The following is a 21,044-nucleotide window of genomic DNA, read 5'->3' as shown; positions in this document are numbered from 1 at the left end:
TAAATTAGCATTATTTTAGCAGATAGTACTTAATGTTTTGTTACATCTATTTCTATTGCCTTTAATTTTTCAAATTGTTGTAACAATATTTTAGTAGATTTTAGATTTCCTGTTAGAAATGAGCTTTAGAAATCCCTTGTTCAACTGTAGAAATAATCCTGAGGGAATGAAAAAGCTATGTTAACTGTTTTGAGAAAACAATTACAAATCAGAGCTTTGTATTAAATGACTGTTTTAATTCTAGATTTTGAGTTTCAAATTTTAAATCAACATCATTTTTCTCCTCTTAGTGCTTGTCTAAGTACACAAAATAAGTTAATCAATAATTTCAGATGATATTAAAGTCTTTTCAAGTTTTGGCCAGGTGTGGTGGCTCATGCCTGTAATCCCAGCATTTTGGGAGGCCGAGGCAGGCAGATCACGAGGCCAGGAGTTTGAGACCAGTCTGGCCAACACAGTGAAACCGCATCTCTACTAAAAATACAAAAAATTAGTGGGGGGAGCCTGTAATCGCAACTACTCGGGAGGCTGAGGCAGGAGAATCGCTTGAACCGGGAGGCAGAGGATGCAGTGAGCCGAGATTGTGCCATTGCACTCCAGCCCAGGCAACAGTGAGAGACTTGGTCTCAAAAAAAAAAAAAAAAAAAAAAAAGTCTTCCCAAGTTTTTAAAACAATGGAATTAAAGTAGTGTGTATGCTCTTCTGTTTTCTATAGGCACTAACGCCAGACATTGCTTCACTGAACTAAGCAAGCTGGCTTTCTAAACATGCTCAACATATGCTTCTGATAACTTTCTGAAACTAGTAATGAATGGCACAGTATGTTAGAGCATGCTTATTTAAATTAATATCCAAGAAGTAAAGGTTCTTAATTTTTATTCTCATTTTAAAGCCAGTTTTCTTCGCTTTAGCATTTAATACCATGCAATAATCATTCAAATCTCCCATATCTTGGAGAGCTTTCTTTTTTCTTACATTTGGAGGTGTAACATAATTTTTTAAAAATAAAGAACACCATTTTCTAGCAGAAAAATTATGTTAGTTTCTTCAGGAAGTGATTATTTATATTGTAAAGGTTTGGAACATGAAATTTTATACCTTCAACTCTTCGAATCTAATCAAGCCATTTTTGGCCTTTGTCTCATTTTTAATCCTTCTTCTCATCTTCCTCTTTGTGGATCTTACATCCTTCCCCAACCATACACAATTTCATTATTCTTCCCTGAAAGCCATTCTCTGTAGCTCTCTATTCTAGGCAGATCCTGTAACTTCAGTAATCTTCCAGCATCAGCAGACCCTTTCTGGTTCCTCAGCCACTGGTGAAAAACTCTGTGCCTTCCTCCAGTGGCTCCCCCTCCTCCTCCCTGACCCACCACAAGCAGCAGAAGGGTAGGATGCATTCCCTCCCTCTTTTCTCTGCTGAACCCAAAGAAAATTCCCCAAGAAGCTTTCCAGACAGACCCGGCTTTAGCAAAGGAACATGCTTACAGGGCAAGAAGAGAAAGAGGGAGGACTTCTTAAGACTTATAATAACATTAAAAACAAGGAAAAGAGTTGACATGCGGCTTTAGGTGTGTGTAGGATGCTTCTAGTTGTCTTTCTAAAGCATCCTGCTTGCTACTTTCCCAACCCATCCAGGGTACTCCCACATAATTTGCTGTTACTAGCCATGCAAGTATTTTTCTAATTCACAATTCAAACTCCACCTTGCAAACAGGTGCCTTTTAGTGCAATCTGCACGTGTGGCTATTATTCTGTTTCTTTGAAAAAGGTGATGAATGGCACAAGGGACTATCAGGCCCGCCATCCCTGGGTAATCTGCCATGAATCTCTGTGTGGATCCAGACCCTCCCTTTGTTTGCAGTTCAGCATGTGATTCCTGTGGATGACTGACAACGGCAGACTTGTAACAACATTATTTCAGGAGGATAATAAACAGCCATCATAAATTCCTTTTTTAATAGTTTATTGCAGATTGTAGGCTATTGACAATGACTTTATTTTACAACATGAAAGAAAATAGTTCCTTGTTGCTGCTAGTCTCTAAAACCACTTTAAGACTTTTTAGTAACCTCTGAGAAAACCTAGCCTTTCATGAAATGAATCATAAATAGTCGAGTTAAGAAAATCACTGTTAAATAGGAAGAGAGAGAAAAGGAATAAAAAAGACATAATCTGTCTAAGATACAAAAGAGATGCTCTAGGAGTCCCTTTCATGCAAATAAAATTTTAATTAAACTTTCATGGCTGTTTTTCTATGTCTTTCTTTCCTGAGTGATGAGTGAAATGGAATGATAAATGTCTAAAAGTCTTAACCATAACTATGTAGAGAAATGAAAATTAGTTAGGAGGTAGCTCACTCTGAGATTTCAATAAGGAATTCAGTTTCATTTCATTTCTTGTTCTGCTAGAAGTATATCACTTCACTACTAATTCCTTTCTGTGAAAAAGGGACATTACATTTTTCACTGACAATCTCATATTTTGTTAGGATTTCTACATCTTTACCTCAAATTATGAGGCAACAGATCTTTACCACTGTCAGTTCTTATAGTTTCAGACCACACACCAGTACCTATGCCAAAAATGTCTATCATGAAATAGAAAATAATTTTATGGACATTTAATTAGAGAAGAGAGTTTATAAGAGTGTGTGCATCCATTTCTCCTTTCCTTTAAATATGTGTTGTTTTTCATTGTAAAAACATGTAAGTCTCAAAATATCTTTTTAAAAAGCAATTCTTATAAAACACACATAGAGCTAGAACCATGCAAGTCAGATACATATGTGACTAATCATATTTTTGATATATCTCTCTGCCTAATCATTAAATTTAAATGCCATATAAGAATTTGTAATCCACAATAAATTATTTCATAGAAATAATTTAAGAGGGCTGCTGACTAATGTGAAACATTCTACATTTCTACCAGCAATTGGCTGCCAAATGTTGTTAAAAAAAAAAAAGTCCCAGATATAAGTTGACATAAATTATAGTGAATATAAATCTCTAATGATCAAGTGGCAGTTAGAGATTATTGCGTCTAGGAGACAGGGAAAAAACATATTAGACATCATGAAGTCTTTCCAGTTTCCAGTCTACATATTAGGAAACTGGATCTTTAAAATTCCCCTCAAAGCCATTGAATTTCTTTGTTTAATGTCCTCAATTCAATGTCCTACATTTCAAAATATATTGTAATAGAGTTTATGGAGCATAGAAAATAGAGGAAAAATCATATTTTAATGACAAGAGAGACTGCCTACGTTCTATTTTTAAATGTAAATTAGAAAATCAACTAAGACTTCTAACTTTTTTCAAATGTTCTTCTTGGAGTATACGTTTTGCAAAAGATCAGAATAATGCAAAGTGATAATTACTCAAATACTAGTTACGAAGGAAGTTTCCCCCTTTTCAGATTCTTAGGTTTTGGGCAAAGCTGGAAACATTTGAGTGGAAATAATGTTCAGATTATAAAAAGCAGCAGCACATGAGTGAAATCAGGCAGAATTGGCCTGACAGGGGGTCAGAAACCAGAAACAGTGACATGCAGCCACTCAAATGGCAGCATTATTCAGGTAGAAATCCATAATTAGCTGAATTTTTTGAGTTTAAAGGATTACTATAAAATACAGGGGGAAAATAATAAGTCAGGTCAGGAAAATTAATTCCCTTTCCAAATCTTCATCCTTTCCTTCAAGATGTAACTCCAAAGAAAGACAATTGCATCAAAGAAGGTTAGGGGCCTAATTTTGAACACTGCCTTTTAAACACATTCTAGAGGCCTATTAGACATCATGTAAACTGTAGACAGCAGCGCTCCTACCACCCGAATACTTAACATCTGTACACCAGCTTCTTGGGAGCAGAAATAGAGACATGTGCATTTTAACATATTCCAAGAATAAAGTCTCAGGGGAAAATCTACCTTTCACCATACATGGCCATTGTGCAGCTCTATCCAAGAACCCAATACAGATACTGATGTAATATTGCCACTATCCACCACCCCCCGGGTTGGCAGTGGTTTAAGGAGATACTTTGGGGAGCCCCCTATAAAGTCGGTCTTCTAAAATGTGAATGGTGCTGATGGAAAAGGCTAAAATGTGTTTTTCACGCATGAATTGAACTATCAGCATGTGGGGTATGTCAGAGTATTTTTTAATCAATCTTTATAAAAATATCTATGGTTATAATAATTTACAGTTATTGTATCTACTAAACATTTTATGTGCTTGGGCTTTAAGTTGTGATCTTATTTCTTTGGGGCATATCCTAGTAACCACCTGCCTAGTAATGAAAAAGAAGATCTGGGGGATAAAGCGAATGCTAGGTGATATTTTCTAAGTGGCTTTGGGAAATTGTCCAACACAGTTAGATTAAAACCTTGCTGATTATTAAAGAGGGGAAATGCAACTAAATACATAGAACTGCAATAATGTAATTCCAAAGGAAATATAGTGTTAGAAATGATACTTTGAATTTTTTAACAGACTTTCATAATTAAAACATTGTAAAATTAGCATGCATGAGTGCAGTGGCCATTTAAAGAACATATAACAGACATGACAATGTAGTCAAATAAGAGACTATGATGTTTTATTACAGAACCTGAAAGGCATGCAGAGGAGGGGGACCAGAAGGCTCCAATTCTAACTCTACTCTGCTCTTACTAGTTATCTGACTGTGGCTAAGTCCTTCACCAGGAAGCAATGGAGATAATATCTGTACTGCTTACCTCACAGCTATTATGAACATCAAATAAAATAGCATATAGAAAGGCAGGATGTGGTGGTTCACACCTGTAATCCCAGCACTTTGGGAGGCGGATCACTTGAGGTCAGGAGTTCAAGACCAGCCTGGCCAACATGGTGAAACCTCATCCCTACTAAAAATACAAAAATCAGCTGGGTGTGGTGGTGCGCTCTGTGGTGTGCGTGTGGTGCCTTCCTGTAGTCCCAGCTACTCAAGAGGCTGAGGCAGGAGAATCGCTTTAACCCAAGAGGCAGAGGTTGCAGTGAGCCAAGATGGTGCCACTGCACTCCAGTTAGGCGACAGAGTGAGACTCCATCTCAAAAAACGAAAAAGATAACATATATAAAATTGCCTTGAAAACTGTTAAATATTGCAGGAGCACAAGATACTCTCATCATCATATTCTCAACCATCCTGCAATAATGGGGTGCCACTGCATGTCAGTGCTAATGTAGGGCTCCCACTGGGAGGAAAGTAATCAAAAGAACCCCATGGTGGTACTCCACTCAAGTTCTCTGGAAGGAGCCCTCTGGGCATTGAGGAAGGGCTGCGGCCCCTCTCTACACTTCATCCCCTGCTCCTGATGGACACTTTATGTCCAGAATGTTCTCCAGGAAAAGGGGTCAGCACACTTGTGCTCATGGAGCAGGCATTGCTCTCTCAATGAATCACCCACTACCTGAGAGGCTCCCACACGTGCCAACTGATGAGATTTATTTTGAAAATATAAAGGCTGTTTTCTGTTGTTGAAAGTTTGGCAATTCATTAACATCTCCACCAGAGGGTGAGCAGGAGAAAGGAAAGCTGGGAACTCCAGTCCACCTCGCATTTCTTAGTAGTTAGTACTTCTAGTACTAGCTGGGTTTGGTGGGAAAAGAGCAAAGGCTCTTCTCAATACCTCGAGAATCAGAATACATCTTAAGAGAACAGAGAAGTGCCAAACCTCCAATGCTGCATGGCCTGTTCTCTTTTAATGCAACAGTAGTGCATCATCTGTTTTTCTGCTCAGCTCATCCCTTTCTGCAAAATATATTAGACTTAGAATGTGTTCAGTTAATTGTTACCCAGGAGTGATTTTAGCCCCATGGGGAGAAAAGGGGCCCTAAAAATGTTAATTATCTGGAGCATAGAGCTTAACATTCTGGATTCCAAGATGGTATTTAAGCCTATTTAGATTTTCTCTAAATTCTTTGAGGCTAATGCAACTTCTGAATGTGTCTAATAATCTCTAATTATTTGTGGAAATGGTAGATGTGAGGAGACCAGATTAAATCCACAGATAATCACAAAATCTCATTTTAGCCAGCAGTACAGCTCTTTCCCACCAAACCCAGCTAGTACTAGAGGTACTAACTACTAAGAAATGCAAGGTAGACTGGAGTTCCCAGTTTTCCTTTCTCCTGCCCATCCTCTGGTGGAGATGTTAATGAATTGCCAGACTTCCAATGACAACAAAAAAAGCCAGCAAAAAAAGAAAGTGGAAACTCAGGGGCCTGGGCCACTACCCAGCTAGAAAAGCAGATGCTGAGGAACTGGAAGGCAGGCTTCCTATCATAAAGGAGCAAAGCACATGCCCACACCTGAGCAGCTGGGCTACCATTTCCAGAAGGCGCAGCACTGTCCCAACTTTCTGTACTGTCACACTTACACCATCGTGTTCTGTCCAGTTTGACCAGCTTCATTCTTGGAAGGTGGTGCAACAGAACTATAACCTGGAGCCTCCTCTCCCATCTCAAAGCACCAGATAAGGACCAGGCCAGGGATGGTCCAAGTGCTGTCCTCAGTTGACTAATAGGATGAGGAAAGAAAGAGGAAGACAAAGACTTTGTTTTGGGGATGACTCTATAAATCCCACAAGCCTTTGCTTTAGTGTTGCTCCCTCTTAATGCTTTTCATTTTTTCTAACTTGATGGTTTATTAACGTCAGCACTGCAGTTTCACAATCCTTTTGAACCCAGGTCTAGATTTAATGAATGCAAAAATTTTACATGATTTGTAAGTTATGTGAAGTTTCCAAATAAATATCATCAGTGAAAAAATCAATGCAAGTCATTTTGGAGCAAAGATTTTTCAAAAGACTGGAGACTATCTGATGAGACAATTTCATGTCTACTCTTGGTAAGGACCCACAAGATATTATTTGATCTTTGGTAGGTGTATTTCTTTCCCCTCCTCCTTTTCCTGGGCCATTTTCATTTGGGTTGGAGCCCTCTGGAACTTTTGGCTAGTTTTGGTTCAAATGAGTTAAGAATTAAATTTGGGCCAGGCATAGTACCTCACGCCTGTAGTCCCAGCACTTTGGGAGGCCTAGGCAGGCAGATGGCTTGAGCCTAGGAGTTTGAGACTAGCCTGGACAACATGGCGAAAACCCGTCTCTACTAAAAATACAAAAATTAGCTGGGTGTGGTGGTGCACGCTTGTAGTCCCAGCTATTCTGGAGGCTGAGGCAGGAGGATCACTTAAACCAAGGAGGTCGAGGCTGGGGTGAGCTGAGATCGCCAGCCTGGGTGACAAAGTGAGAACCTATCTCTGGGCTGGGCGGGGGTGGTGGGAAGAGAGACAGAGAGAGAGAGAGAGAGAGAGAGAGAGAGAGAGAGAGAGAGAGAGAGAATTAAATTTGGAAGCAGGGAGAAGAAAAATGGAGACGATTTGGTGAAGGAAAGAGAACCAGGTGACCATAACTTCTTCGGGTGGAATAACAGAAAGGTGTAGAAGTCTCTACTAAGAGATGAAAGATCTGACATGGAGAAAATAGAAAAAGAAAAGGTGGCCATTCAATTTTATATATATATATATCTCCTGAAGTTAAACTTTCTGGCCACAGAGCTCAGAATCACCATAATTACTTTATGTTCTAAATGATGTCCTTTAGGCTCCCAACATCTCAAGTCTCAGTAGCTGCAAAATGGGGGTGACAGCTGGTCGCCAGCGCAGGGAAGGTGCGTTCGGAGGCTGGGGGTGGAGGGGAACGCAGGGAGAAGCTCGCCACCTTTCTTCCCGGAGCGGAATTCCCTGGAGTTGGAGTGACTTTCCGGCTGATTCACAGCTCTGCTCTCCCTCGCGTCCCTTGCGGCCACTTCCAGCGCTCGATCCGAGTCTCCGGGGGCGGCAGAGCCTGGGTGCCAAGGCGGCCGACCGCAGGCCTGTTCCCGGAGGTCGGGGATCGTCTCCCGCGGACCTTTCCACCCCGGCCAATTCTTGGGCACTCCACTCGCTGGGCAGCCCCGCGGCCTCCCCAGCTGCCTGCGCCGTCCTGGCTCCCGCGCTCCAGGTCCCTCTCCGCGTGCTCTGCGCCACAGCTCCTCTCTCCTGCCCCCATGCGGCCATAGGGGGAAAACCGCGCGGGTGCTCAAGGGCCCTGGCCGCCCTGGCCGCCGCCGCCGCGCCCTCGATGCTGGGCGCTTGGGTGGTGCGCGGGTGCACCGCACTTGGGCAGGGAGGAAAAGCTGCGCTCCGAGGAGGATGGTGCTGATTCTGCGGGACAGAGACTCCCTGGGATCTTCGAGAAGGTTTCGGCAGCTCCGCACCCCCCCCCCCCGCCCCATCTAAGGCTGTTGACCCAGAAGTGCGGACAAGGAGGAAGCCTTCTCCCCAGCGCCGCGAGGCTGGCCGCTTCGTGAACGAGAACGTGGTTATGCACGGACGGAGGGCAGGGTGTCTGCAGTGAGGTGGTGGGAGATGGGGCGGATAAAGCTTGGGGTTTAAGGCACCACGAGTAACGTAGTCCCAGCTTTGCAGCTCCGGGCTTAGGTGTTTATTTCATTTTAAGTTCCCCCTTTCACTGCCTGTACTAGCCTAGAGGGAGTTACAAATGACTTCCACATCCTGGTAGTACGTGGGTTCGTGGCCTTTCCCTTAGCCAGCCCAGCCAGCGAGGTTTCAGCTGCCAGAAAATGTGTTTCCCATCCAACATTTCTCACACAAGGACAAAATATAACGTGTCTAAAAATGGCGAGCTTCCTGTCTGGGCTCCCCTCTCCCACCCCGGTTCCCCACTTAGGAATAAAACTTGAGGAACAAAGATTAGTTTGAAATCTATTTTTCTTTGGACATCCCAGATTTCTGCTGGTTCAGTGTCCCGTGTCAGGTGAAATTATTCATGAGGCTCTGAACTGAGTTGATAAGTCTTACTCCTTATCCCTAGAAATTCCAACTGGATTTAAATCACTCCCTGGTTGCTGCAGAAGGTCTATGTTTTATGGGAGTTCTCTAGTGAGCTTTGAAGTATTTGCTTACCAAATCCGTTTCTCAGCTTCCAGCTCCTGAATAAATTACCTGCCGCTTCTCTCTGCTGCCACTCCCCCGCCCTCCTGAAATATGAACAGTGGGGATGTTTTCTGAACAATAGGTTGGAATGAGGGCTCTGGGACTTATCAGTCAATTGCCAGCCCCAGGACACCCATTTGCAGCCGTGGCTGACTGGAGATTTCCAATGGCTAATGGAATAGGCAGGGAATGGGGGCCCGTGGACCTTATTCCATTCACAGGTTTATCCCTCACTCACAGGGAATCACTTAACGAGTGTCACCATATACTATCTCAAGCCTGGTTGCTTCGTCAGGGAAATGGTCATTAGAATCCTCATTTAGAGAACACATTAAAATCCTCATGTTGAAAACATCCTGGAGCTTTTTTTGAGGATTGCCACTTGCCAGAGGTTAGTGCTAATTGATGTCAGGCAGGTCTGTTTGCAAAGACTGAAGACTATAGACTTCTATTTATTTTGTTCTTTGCATAAGGGCTAGAGAGGGTAAAGGGAAATTGGGCAGCCAAGACCCTTGGGTGAGCCAAGAGGCATTTCGCATTATGTCCCAGCTGCTTAGAAAGTATTTTTGTCCATCCTCCTGTATGAACAGGATGGGGCATGTCTAAATTGTCCATTTTTATGTCTGCCGGGAAGATGCTTCCCTTTCTGTCCCTAATACCTAAAATGTCACTAAAATCACCGTTTTCTTCGTTCATGCAATATGTTAAAGAGTTCATTAAAGACTCCCCAGGGGGCTCCAGAGCAGCCTCTTCTGGGGTTGTGATTTGTCACATTTCCATGATTCACTTCACCAGGGGCCTCAGTAGCTGGAGGATTCCTTGACTCTCTCACTGGGACTTCCCAGACATGAACAAGGATCCCATTACCCTTTTCTTACTTCGAGTTTTTCTAAACCAACAACACCAACAACAACAAAAAGTAAAACAAACAAAAAATTAAAATATACCAAAGCAAAGACATCTGGCTATTTACAAAGCACAGATTTCTTACCCTAAAATAATTGAAGCCTGTCCCAGACTTGGCTGATCCTGCCTCTGGCTGGGCTCAGGGCTTCAGCCTCCTGGTCCTCTGATTGCTGCTGCTTCATTGGAGGAAGCTGCTCCCTGGTCTTCATCTTCGGGGGACTTAGAGCATGGCTGGACGCCCACTTTTTTGTGCACTTCACCCCATGGCCTCTGAGCCTGAGCAGTGGTCCTCTCGGGGAAGAAAAGCCTTTCTCAGGTCTCAAGGTTCCTCCCTGGGCCTCCTGGTAGCCCTAGGCACTCCTTGGGTAGCACGCAGGAAGGTTCAGAGCCCTTACCTGTCACTCGCTACTCTCAGGCAGCCAGCCTAGGCTGTGGGTGCTGGGCCCCATCCACCCAGAAGCCTGCCTACTTTCTATTCACCCCTCCCCTCTCCATCTTTCCCCCAGCCAGCCAACACCACTGAAAACCACCTGTTTTGTGTTTTGAAATCCTGGAAGCACGCCCATCCTCCACCCTCGCAGACCTCCCACTGTGTTCCAGTTTCCTGTTCAAACTCCAGATTTGAGTTCTTGACTCATTTCAAGAACATTCAAAAGTCACATACGCTGAGCTTGCTGCATATTCAAGTCTTTTCTTCTCTGCTCAGGTGGCCAATGGTCCCCCTCTCAGGCGAAGGGGAATCTTGTAAAGTTTCAAGCCTGGCAGCCCCCAGGGGTGATCCTCAGACTAGTCAGAGATCAAGTACCTGCAAAGTCACAGTCATCTCTACAGGGCACCGTGTAACCAATTAGTCCCCTCAAATGTGCTAGGAACAATTTTACAAGCAAAAACTATGACCCTGTTATGTCATCTACTGTAAAATCACAACCACAAGCAAACAGGTTCACACACAATTACAAGCACAAAGGAAATTACTGACTTCCCCGATTGGCAGACTGGCAGTTTCTGAATGTTCTGGCGATGCCAATTTGTTCAATAATCTCCTCCTCCTCCTCCTCCTCCTTCTTTCTTTCTTTCTTCTTCTTGTTCTTGTTCTTCTTCTCCTTCTTCTTCCTTCTTCTTCTTCTTCTTCTTTATTATTATTATTATTATTATTATTATTATTATACTTTAAGTTCCGGGAAACGTGGAGAACGTGCAGGTTTGTTACATAGGTATACAAGTGGCATGGTGGTTTGCTGCACCCATCAACTCGTCATCTACATTAAATATTTCTCCTAATGTTATCCCTCCCCTAGCCCACACCCCTCAGCAGGCCCCGGTGTGTGATGTTCCCCTCCCTGTGTCCATGTGTTCTCATTGTTCAGCTCCCGCTTATGAGTGGGAACATGCGGTGTTTGGTTTTCTGTTCCTGTGTTAGTTTGCTGAGAATAATGGTTTCCAGCTTCATCCATGTCCCTGCACAGGACATGAACTCATCCTTTTTTATGGCTGCATAGTATTCCATGGTGTATATGTGCCACATTTTCTTTATCCAGTCTATCATTGATGTGCATTTGGGTTGGTTCCAAGTCTTTGCTATTGTAGACAGTGCTGCAATAAACATACCTGTGTATGTGTCTTTGTATTAGAATGACTTATGATCCCTTGGGTATACAGCCAGTAATGGGATTGCTGAGTCAAATGGTATTTCTGGTTCTAGATCCTTGAGGAATCACCACACTGTCTTCCACAATGGTTGAACTAATTTATGCTCCCACCAACAGTGTAAAAGCATTCCTATTTCTCCACATTCTCTCCAGCATCTGTTGTTTCCTGACTTTTTAATGATCGCCATTCTAACTGGGGTGAGATGGTATCTCACTGTGGTTTTGATTTGCATTTCTCTAATGACCAGTGATGATGAGCTTTTTTTTTTTTCATATGTTTGTTGGCCACATAAATGTCTTGAGAAGTGTCTGTTTATATCCTTCACCCACTTTTTGATGGGGTTGTTTATTTTTTTCTTGTAAATTTGCTTAAGTTCCCTGTAGATTCTGGATACTAGCCCTTTGTCAGATGGATAGATTGTAAAAATTTTCTCCCATTCTGTAGATTGCCTGTTCACTCTGATGGTAGTTTCTTTTGCTGTGCAGAAGCTCTTTAGTTTAATTAGATCCCATTTGTCAATTTTGTCTTTTGTTGCAATTGCTTTCAGAGTTTTAGTCATGAAGTCTTTGCCCATGCCTATGTCCTGAATGGTATTACCTAGGTTTTCTTCTAGGGTTTTTATGGTTTTGGGTTTTACATTTAAGTCTTTAATCCATCTTGAGTTAATTTTTGCATAAGGTATAAGGAAGGGGTCCAATTTCAGTTTTCTGCATATGGTTAGCCAGTTTTCCCAATACCATTTATTAAATAGGGAATCTTTTCCCCACTGCTTGTTTTTGTCAGGTTTGTCAAAGATCAGATGGTTGTAAATGTGTGGCATTATGTCTGAGGCCTCTCTTCTGTTCCATTGGTCTATATATCTATTTTGGTACCAGTACCATGCTGTTTTGGTTACTGTAGCCTTGTAGTACAGTTTGAAGTCAGGTAACGTGATACCTCCAGCTTTGTTCTTTTTGCTTAGGATTGTCTTGGCTATATGGGCTCTTTTGGTTCCGTATGAAATTTAAAGTAGTTTTTTCTAATTCTGTGAAGAAAGTCAATGGTAGCTTGATGGGGATAACATTTAATCTATAAATTACTTTGGGCAGTATGGCCATTTTTACAATATTGATTCTTCCTATCCATGAGCATGGAATGTTTTTCCATTTGTTTCTGTCCTGTCTTATTTTTTTGAGCAGTGTTTTGTAGTTCTCCTTGAAGAGATCCTTCACATCCATTATAAGTTGTATTCCTAGGTATTTTATTCTCTTTGTAGCAATTGTGAATGGGAGTTCACTCATGATTTGGCTCTCTGTCTATTACTGGAATATAGGAATGCTTGTGATTTTTGCACATTGATTTTGTATCCTGAGAATTTGCAGAAGTTGCTTATCAGCTTTGGGAGATTTTGGGCTGAGACGATGGGGTTTTCTAAATATACAATCATGTCATCTGCAAACAGAGACAATTTGACTTCCTCTCTTCGTATCTCAATACCCTTTATTTCTCTCTCTTGCCTGATTGCCCTGGCCAGAACTTCCAATGCTATGTTGAATAGGAGTAGTGAGAGAGGGCATTCTTGTCTTGTGCTGGTTTTCAAAGGGAATGCTTCCAGCTTTTGCCCATTCAGTATGATATTGGCCGTGGGTTTGTCATAAGTAGCTCTTATTATTTAGAGATATGTTCCATCAATACCTAGTTTATTGAGAGTTTTTAGCTTGGAGGGGTGTTTAATTTTGTTGAAGGCCTTTTCTGCATGTATTGAGATAATCATGTGGTTTTTGTCATTGGTTCTGTTTATGTGATGGATTATGTGTATTGATTTATATATGTTGAACCAGCTTTGCATCCCAGGGATGAAGCTGACTTGATGGTGGTGGATATGCTTTTAGATATGTTGCTGGATTCAGTTTGCCAGTATTTTATTGAGGATTTTTGCATCGATGTTCATGAGGGATATTGGCCTGAATTTTTCTTTTTTTGTTGTGTCTCTGCCAGGTTTTGGTATCAGGATGATGCTGGCCTCATAAAATGAGTTAGGGAGGAGTCCCTCTTTTTCTATTGTTTGGAATAGTTTCAGAAGGAATGGTACCAGCTTGTCTTTGTACCTGTGGTAGAATTCGGCCATGAATCCATCTGGTCCTGAGCTTTTTTTGGTTGGTAGGCTATTAATTACTGCCTCAATTTCAGAACTTGTTATTGGTCTATTCAGGGATTTGACTTCTTCCTGGTTTAGTCTTGGGAGGGTGTGTGTGTCCAGGAATTTATCCATTTCTTCTAGATTTTCTAGTTTATTTGCATAGAGATGTTTATAGTAGTCTCTGATTATAGTTTGTATATCTGTGGGATCAGTGGTGATATCCCCTTTATCATTTTTTATTGTGTCTACTTGATTTTTCTCTGTTTTCTTCTTTATCAGTCTGGCTGGCAGTCTATCTATTTTGTTAATCTTTTCAAAAAAACAGCTCCTGGATTCATTGAATTTTTGAAGGGTTTTTCGTGTCTCTGTCTCCTTCACTTCTGCTCTGATCTTAGTTATTTCTTGTCTTCTGCTAGCTTTTGAATTAGTTTGCTCTTGCTTCTCTAGTTCTTTTCATTGGGATGTTAGGGTGTCGATTTTAGATCTTTCCTGCTTTCTCCTGTGGGCATTTAGTGCTATAAATTTTCCTCTAAACACTGCTTTAGCTGTGTCCCAGAGATTCTCACACGTTGTGTCTTTGTTCTCATTGGTTTCAAAGAACTTATTTATTTCTGCCTTCTTTCGTTATTTACCCAGTAGTCATTCAGGAGCAGGTTGTTCAGTTTCCATGTAGTTGTGCAGTTTTGAGTGGGTTTCTTAATCCTGAGTTCTAATTTGATTGCACGGTGGTCTGATAGACTGTTTGTTATGATTTCTGTTCTTTTGCTGAGGAGTGTTTTACTTCCAATTATGTGGTCAGTTTTATAATAAGTGTGATGTGGTGCCAAGAAGAATGTATATTCTGTTGATTTGAGGTGGAGAGTTCTATAGATGTCTATTAGGTCCACTTGGTCCAGAGCTGAGTTCTAGTCCTGAATATCCTTGTTAATTTTCTGTCTTGTTGATTTGTCTAATATTGACAGTGGGGTGTTAAAATCTCCCACTATTATTGTGTGGGAGTCTAAGTCTCTTTGGAGGTCTCTAAGAACTTGCTTTATGAATCTGGGTGCTCCTGTATTGGGTGCATATATATTTAGGATAGTTAGCTCTTCTTGTTGCATTGATCCCTGACCATTATGTAATGTCTTTCTTTGTATTTTTTTTATCTTTGTTGGTTTAAAGTCTGTTTTATCAGAGACTAGGATTGCAACCTCTGCTTTTTTTGCTTTCCATTTGCTTGGTAAATATTCTTCCATCCCTTTATTTTGAACCTATGTGTGTCTTTGCACATGAGATGGGTCTCTTGAATACAGCACACCAATGGGTCTTGACTCTTTATCCAATTTGCCAACCAGTGTCTTTTAATTGGGGCATTTAGCCCATTTACATTTCAGGTTAATATTTTTATGTGTGAATTTGATCCATCATTATGATGCTAGCTGGTTATTTTGCCCATTGGTTGATGCAATTTCTTCATGGTGTAGATGGTCTTTACAATTTGGCATCTTTTTGTAGTGGCTGGTGCAGGTTTTTCCTTTCCATATTTAGTGCTTCCTTCAGGAGATCTTGTAAGGCAGGCCTGGTGGTGACAAAATCTCTCAGCATTTGCTTGTCTGTGAAGGATTTTATTTCTCCTTTGTTTTTGAAGCTTAGTTTGGCTGGATATGAAATTCTGGGTTGAAAATTACTTTCTTTAGGAATGTTGAATATTGGCCCCCCACTTTCTTCTGGCTTGTAGGGTTTCTGCCAAGAGATCTGCTGTTAGTCTGATGGGCTTCCCTTTGTGAGTAACCCAACCTTTCTCTCTGGCTGCTCTTTTTCCTTCATTTCAACCTTGGTGAATCTGACAATTATGTGTCTTGGGATTACTCTTCTCGAGGAGTATCTTTGTGGTGTTCTCTTTATTTCCTGAATTTGAATATTGGCCTGTCTTGCTAGGCTGGGGAAGTTCTCCTGGATGATATCCTGAAGAGTGCTTTCCTAGTTGGTTCCATTCTCCCCATCACTTTCAGGTACACTAATCAAACATAGGTTTGGTCTTTCCACATAGTCCCATATTTCTTGGAGGCTTTGTTCATTCCTTTTCATTCTTTTTTCTCTAATCTTGTCTTCATGCTTTATTTCATTAAGTTGATCTTCAATCTCTGATATCCTTTCTTCTGCTTGATCGATTTGGCTATTCATACTTGTGTATGCTTCAGGAAGTTCTCATGCTGTGTTTTTCAGCTCCATCAGTTCATCTATGTTCTTCTCTAAACTGGTTATTCTAGTTAACAATTCCTCTAACCTTTTTCAAGTTTCTTAGCTTCCTTGCATTGGGTTAGAACATGCTCCTCTAGCTCATAGGAGTTTGTTATTACCCACCTTCTGAAGTCTACTTCTGTCAATTTGTCAAACTCATTCTCCATCCAGTTTTGTTCCCTTGCTGGCAAGGAGTTGTGATCCTTTGGAGGAGAAGAGGCATTCTGGGTTTTGCAATTTTCAGCTTTTTTTGTGGTGGTTTTTCCTTATCTTCGTGGATTTATCTACCTTTGGTCTTTGATGTTGGTAAGCTTCGGATGGGGTTTTTGTGTGGACAACCTTTTTGTTGATGTTGATGCTATTCCTTTCTGTTTGTTAGTTTTCCTTCTAATAGTCAGGCCTCTCTGCTGCAGGTCTGCTAGAGTTTGCTGGAGGTCCACTCCAGACTCTGTTTGCCTGGGTATCACCCATGGAGGCTGCAGAACAGCAAAGACTGCTGCCTGTTCCTTCCTCTGGAAGCTTCATCCCAGAGGGGCACCTGCCAGATGCCAGTTGGAGCTCTCCTTTATGAAATGTCTGTCGACCCCTGCTGGGAGGTATCTCCCAGTCAGGAGGCACAGGGGTCAGGGACCCACTTGAGGAGGCAGTCTGTCCCTTAGCAGAGCTCAAGTACTGTGCTGGGAGATCTGCTGCTCTCTTCAGAGCTGGCAGGCAGGAACGTTTAAGTCTGCTGAAGGTGCACCCACAGCTGCCCCCTTACCCCAGGTGCTCTGTCCCAGGGAGATGGGAGTTTGATTTATAAGCCCCTGACTGGGTCTACTGTCTTTCTTTCAGAGATGCCCTGCCCAGAGAGGAGGAATCTAGAGAGGCAGTCTGGCTACAGCAGCTTTGCCAAGCTCCTGGGCTCCACCCAGTTCAAACTTCCCGGCGGGTTTGTTTACACTGTGAGGGGAAAACCACCTACTCAAGCCTCAGTAATGGTGGACGCCCCTCCTCCCACCAAGCTCCAGCATCCCAGGTCGACTTCAGACTGCTGTGCTGGCAGGGAGAATTTCAAACCAGTGGATCTTAGCTTGCTGTGCTCCATGGGGGTGGGATCCAGTGAGCTAGACCACTTGGCTTTCCTGGCTTCAGCCCCCTTTTCAGGGGGTTAACGTTTCTGTCTCACTGGCATTCCAGGTGCCACTGGGGTATGAAAAAAAAACTCCTGCAGCTAGCCCAGTGTCTGCCCAAATGGCTGCCCTGTTCTGTGCTTGAAACCCAGGGCCCTAGTGGTGTAGGCACCCGAGGGAATTTCCTGGCCTGTGGGTTGTGAAGACCATGGGAAAAGCGTAGTATCTGGGCCAGAATGCACCATCCCTCACGGCACAGTCCCTCACGGCTTCCCTTGGCTAGGGGAGGGAGTTCCCCGACCCCCTGTGCTTCCCGGGTGAGGCGACAGCCCACCCTGCTTCTGCTCACCCTCTGTGAGCTGCATCCATTCACTGTCTAACCAGTGCCAATGAGATGAGCCAGGTACCTCAATTGGAAATGCAGAAATCACCCGCCTCCTGCGTTGATGTCACTGGAAACTGCAGACCAGACCTGTTCCTATTTGGCCATCTTGCCAGCCCTCTTCTTTCTTCTTTTTTGCCTTCCACCAACATTTGCTACCAGGCAAGTGGAAGTAGGTGTCATAGGTTGGAGAAAATCTTTTGGAAGATAACAAATTTGAAATCAACAAAGCACTCTACACAGAATAATGGCCTTCCCCAAATGTCCACTTCCTAATGCCCATAACCTGTGAATAAGTTACCTCACAAGGCAAGAAGGACTTTGCAGATGTAATTAAGTTATAGATCTTGAGATGAGGAGATTATCCTGGATTAGCTGGATGGGCCCTATGTAATCACAAGGCTCTTGATAAGTGGAAGATGGAGGCAGGAGAGTTAGGGTCAGAGAAAGATTTGAAGATGCTAAGCTGCTGGCTTTGAAGATGAAGGGAGATGGTGAGTCAAGGAATGTAGGAAGCCTCTAGAAGTTGAGAAAAGAACACCTTTTGGATTTGATGGGAACCCTCTGGTACAACATGAAGAATAAAACAGCATCCCCATTTATTGTTTTTTATTCCATAGCTGTCATTTGTCATTTGCCCACTGCCTATGTTATGCCAGGACCTGTGCTAGTTATGGATATGCTAGCAAGAACATTTTGAGGTAAGTGTTGTTTTGCACTTTTTATAGAGGAGGAAACAGGCTCAGAATAGGTAAGTAAATTACCCAGAGCTAAACATTAATAGTTGATAGGTGGAGAGAAAGGATACAAACTCAACTTCAGTGGATTCCAAAGCCCTTACTGCTTCCTCCACCCCTTCTCAGAGAGCAGCCACGGCAATGCTGGCTCAGTCAGAGAATTGCCTTTTCGTGGGGATTCCTGCCATTGTAGGTAGTGAGCCATAGTCAAACCACTGGTTGGAAAGCCCTTTTTGGTTGCAAATAAGATTGGGATTAAATTTTCCTCAGTGGCATAATCAGAAATTCTTTATTGGTAAACTGGACTTAGGTTCAGTTAATGCACAGAACTGTGCATTGCTTTATATGATAAAACATCAATTTTAAAGCACAGGATGGAGGAGATTCAGTGTCTATGACCAGCAGCAACTCCGCCCTGTGCTGGCTACACAGAAGCCCCACTTTCCTTGGTGAGGGGTAAGGAAGGCAGCAGGGAAGACCTGGCTGATGTCCTCTTTGCCTGGATCCAGTGAATCTCAACCCCAGCTGCACATTGCAATCACCTCAGAAGCCAGAGACACATGCACGTGGCCAGGCCCCACCTCAGCCAGTTAAACTCCACCCTGTAGAGTGGGGCCTGGGCCCCAAGGGACTACTCCATCTCCCCAGGTGGTAGATGCCTGCTGCCAGAGTGTGTGCTTATCTGGATGTGCCAGCCTGTTGGCGCAGAAACCACAGGACCTACAGGAGTCCCTGAGTGCCTCTCACAGAAGAGCATGCGACAGCCTCATTCACAGGGTGCTAGTGGCTGGTAAAGCACAGCAGACCTCTCCCTGGAAGGGTGCATTTTGAGGTGACCAGCATCCTCATTTGCCCAGGGCTTTGCAGGTAAAGGATGCGTTCCTAGGATGTGAGACTTTAAAGTGCTAAAATCAGAAAACTCTCAGGCATTTTGACAGGGAACCACAAGTCTGAGGTCCCCAGGAATAAACTGTCATGGTTAGATGGTAGAACTCTGCATCAGAGAAAGGGTGTGTGTGTGTGAGCGTGAGAGTGTGTGTGTGTTGCACCAATATGTGCATGTGGGTGTATGTGTGCGCATCTGCACCCATTTGTGCATGTGTGAGTGTGAGAGTTTGTGTATGCATGGGTGTGTGACTTGTTCAAGTGTGTTCATGTGTGTGAGAGCATGAGTTGTATGTGTGTGAGAGAGTACAAGAGAGATTTTGTGTGTGAATCTGAGAGTGTGCGAGTGTTGTATGAATGTGTGTGTGAGTGTGCATTAGTGTGTGGGAGTGTATACATGTCCAAGAGTGTGTGTGCACATGTGTGAGAGTGGTGGGTGAGTGTGCGTATGTGTGTGTGTGTGAGTGTGAGAGCACAGACACTCTGCAGAGAGCAGATCTTGCCAGACCAGAATCGCCCCACTGCAGTGGCCTCTAAGCCTTTTGAGGGCATGTGCCTTTTGAGGGCATATGCCTCCTGAATGGGCCCTGAATCCTGCCAGAGAGCAGCTCAGAGAAGAGTTTACCCTGAGTGGTTCATTGAGCTCAGGGGTAGAAGTTGTAAATTTCTTTTGCTCTACCACAGTATAATTAGCTCCCCCTCTTGTGAGGAATGAAAGGGCCGTGTGCTTCTGACAGCTGTGGGAGCCGCCTTCCTGCCTGGATAAATCTAGTCTCCAACGATATTGTTGCACCTGTTTAAACAAGGAACAGAATAGGTATTTATTTAAAGTTCAAGAGGCCATATGAGCCATGGCCTAAATATAGGCCTGGATATAATTATAAAGATACTTAATTCTTTGTTCTGAAAGATTTTTGCAGCCCACTATTCCCTCAAAGGCTTGGGCAGCTTCCTTTAACACATGTACCTCCCAGAACGAGTAAAGGCAGGGCGTGAGAATGCCTCTTGGAGGCCAGGCATTGTGGAAGACCCCTGGCCCCAGCCCTGACCTTGCTCATCATCAGAACCACCAAGGGGAAGACTCGATAAAGGTACAGAGCTCTAGGTCCTCTCCCAGCAATCATCATTCCTGTGCTCTTGGAGTGGAGCCCAGGAATCTGTATTTTTAAGCTCCCCACATGATTCTAATGCTTACCCAAGTTTGGGAACCCTTGATCTAAGGCATGGTAGTGGGGGCGAGGGGAAGCGGTCCTTTCTGTGAGGCATTTCTGGGACCAGGTCAGGGATACTACTAATTGGTATTTACTGAGCCCTCCTCACATACAGGCACCCACCATGATTCCCATTTTCCAGATGAGGCAACTGAGCTCTTTCATTCATTTCTCTGCTGTGTACTGAAGTACCTCAAAGCAGGAGTTCACCATGTTTTTGAGGCCATGGAACCTTTTGAGACTCTAGTGAAAGCTATAAACCCTCTCACCATAAAACTGTACATGCATGGAAGATTTTGCAGTGTTGGAGGGTTCATGGAGCCCCCTAAAGCCCATCCAAGAATGCTTGATTAAGAATAGTCATCATGAAGGACATTCTCTCAGGGCAGGCCACCAACAGGCACAGTAAGCTTGATCCGTAGCAGCCTGAGGAAGGGCTTCTGGAGCACCTGCGTGTGCAGAGCACATTGAGAGATGCTGTGGGCACAGAAGTGAAGATGACATGCAATGAGCTGGAAAGACTCAACTGAACAGAAAGAGAGATAATATGAAATTCAAGGTAGTTTATGCTAAGTCCTAAACAACAGGGGCCAACAAGCCCTGCAGCTCAGGGTGGCAAGGAGTCATGCACTGTGGCCTTGGTAGGAGGGCTGAGAGGTTGGAGGTTGGGAGGTGAGGCCTGACCTGAGCTCAGCAGGCAGGAGAGAATTCTGGGCAATGGGGGCTTGGTGAACAGCATCTCTTTTTTTTTTTGAGATGGAGTTTTGCTCTTGTCACTCTGAAGTACAATGGCGCAATC

General features: G+C 43.2%; 1 long non-coding RNA gene across 1 annotated transcript in view, besides 1 other annotated feature; it reads right to left on the bottom strand.

Moving 5' to 3' along the window:
- LOC124901002 (uncharacterized) overlaps positions 1–10,360 on the bottom strand; it is a 76,128-nt gene extending 65,768 nt beyond the window's left edge. The window contains exon 1 of the long non-coding RNA XR_007058818.1: positions 10,015–10,360. This is a non-coding gene — a long non-coding RNA (uncharacterized LOC124901002). The remainder of the gene's footprint in view (positions 1–10,014) is intronic.
- Positions 7,990–8,169: a silencer, noted in NCBI's record as "silent region_16087". NCBI's record gives its function as "represses an Ori minimal core promoter by ATAC-STARR-seq in GM12878 lymphoblastoid cells {active_cell/tissue: GM12878}" and the evidence as "EXISTENCE:reporter gene assay evidence [ECO:0000049][PMID:35858748]".
- Positions 10,361–21,044: the final 10,684 nt, after the last annotated feature.

Source organism: Homo sapiens, chromosome 5 (genome assembly GCF_000001405.40).
Source record: "Homo sapiens chromosome 5, GRCh38.p14 Primary Assembly".
In the NCBI taxonomy this organism is placed as follows: Eukaryota; Metazoa; Chordata; class Mammalia; order Primates; family Hominidae; genus Homo; species Homo sapiens.
Note: the sequence above shows the minus strand (reverse complement) of the source record. Positions and strands in the feature narration are given on the sequence as shown.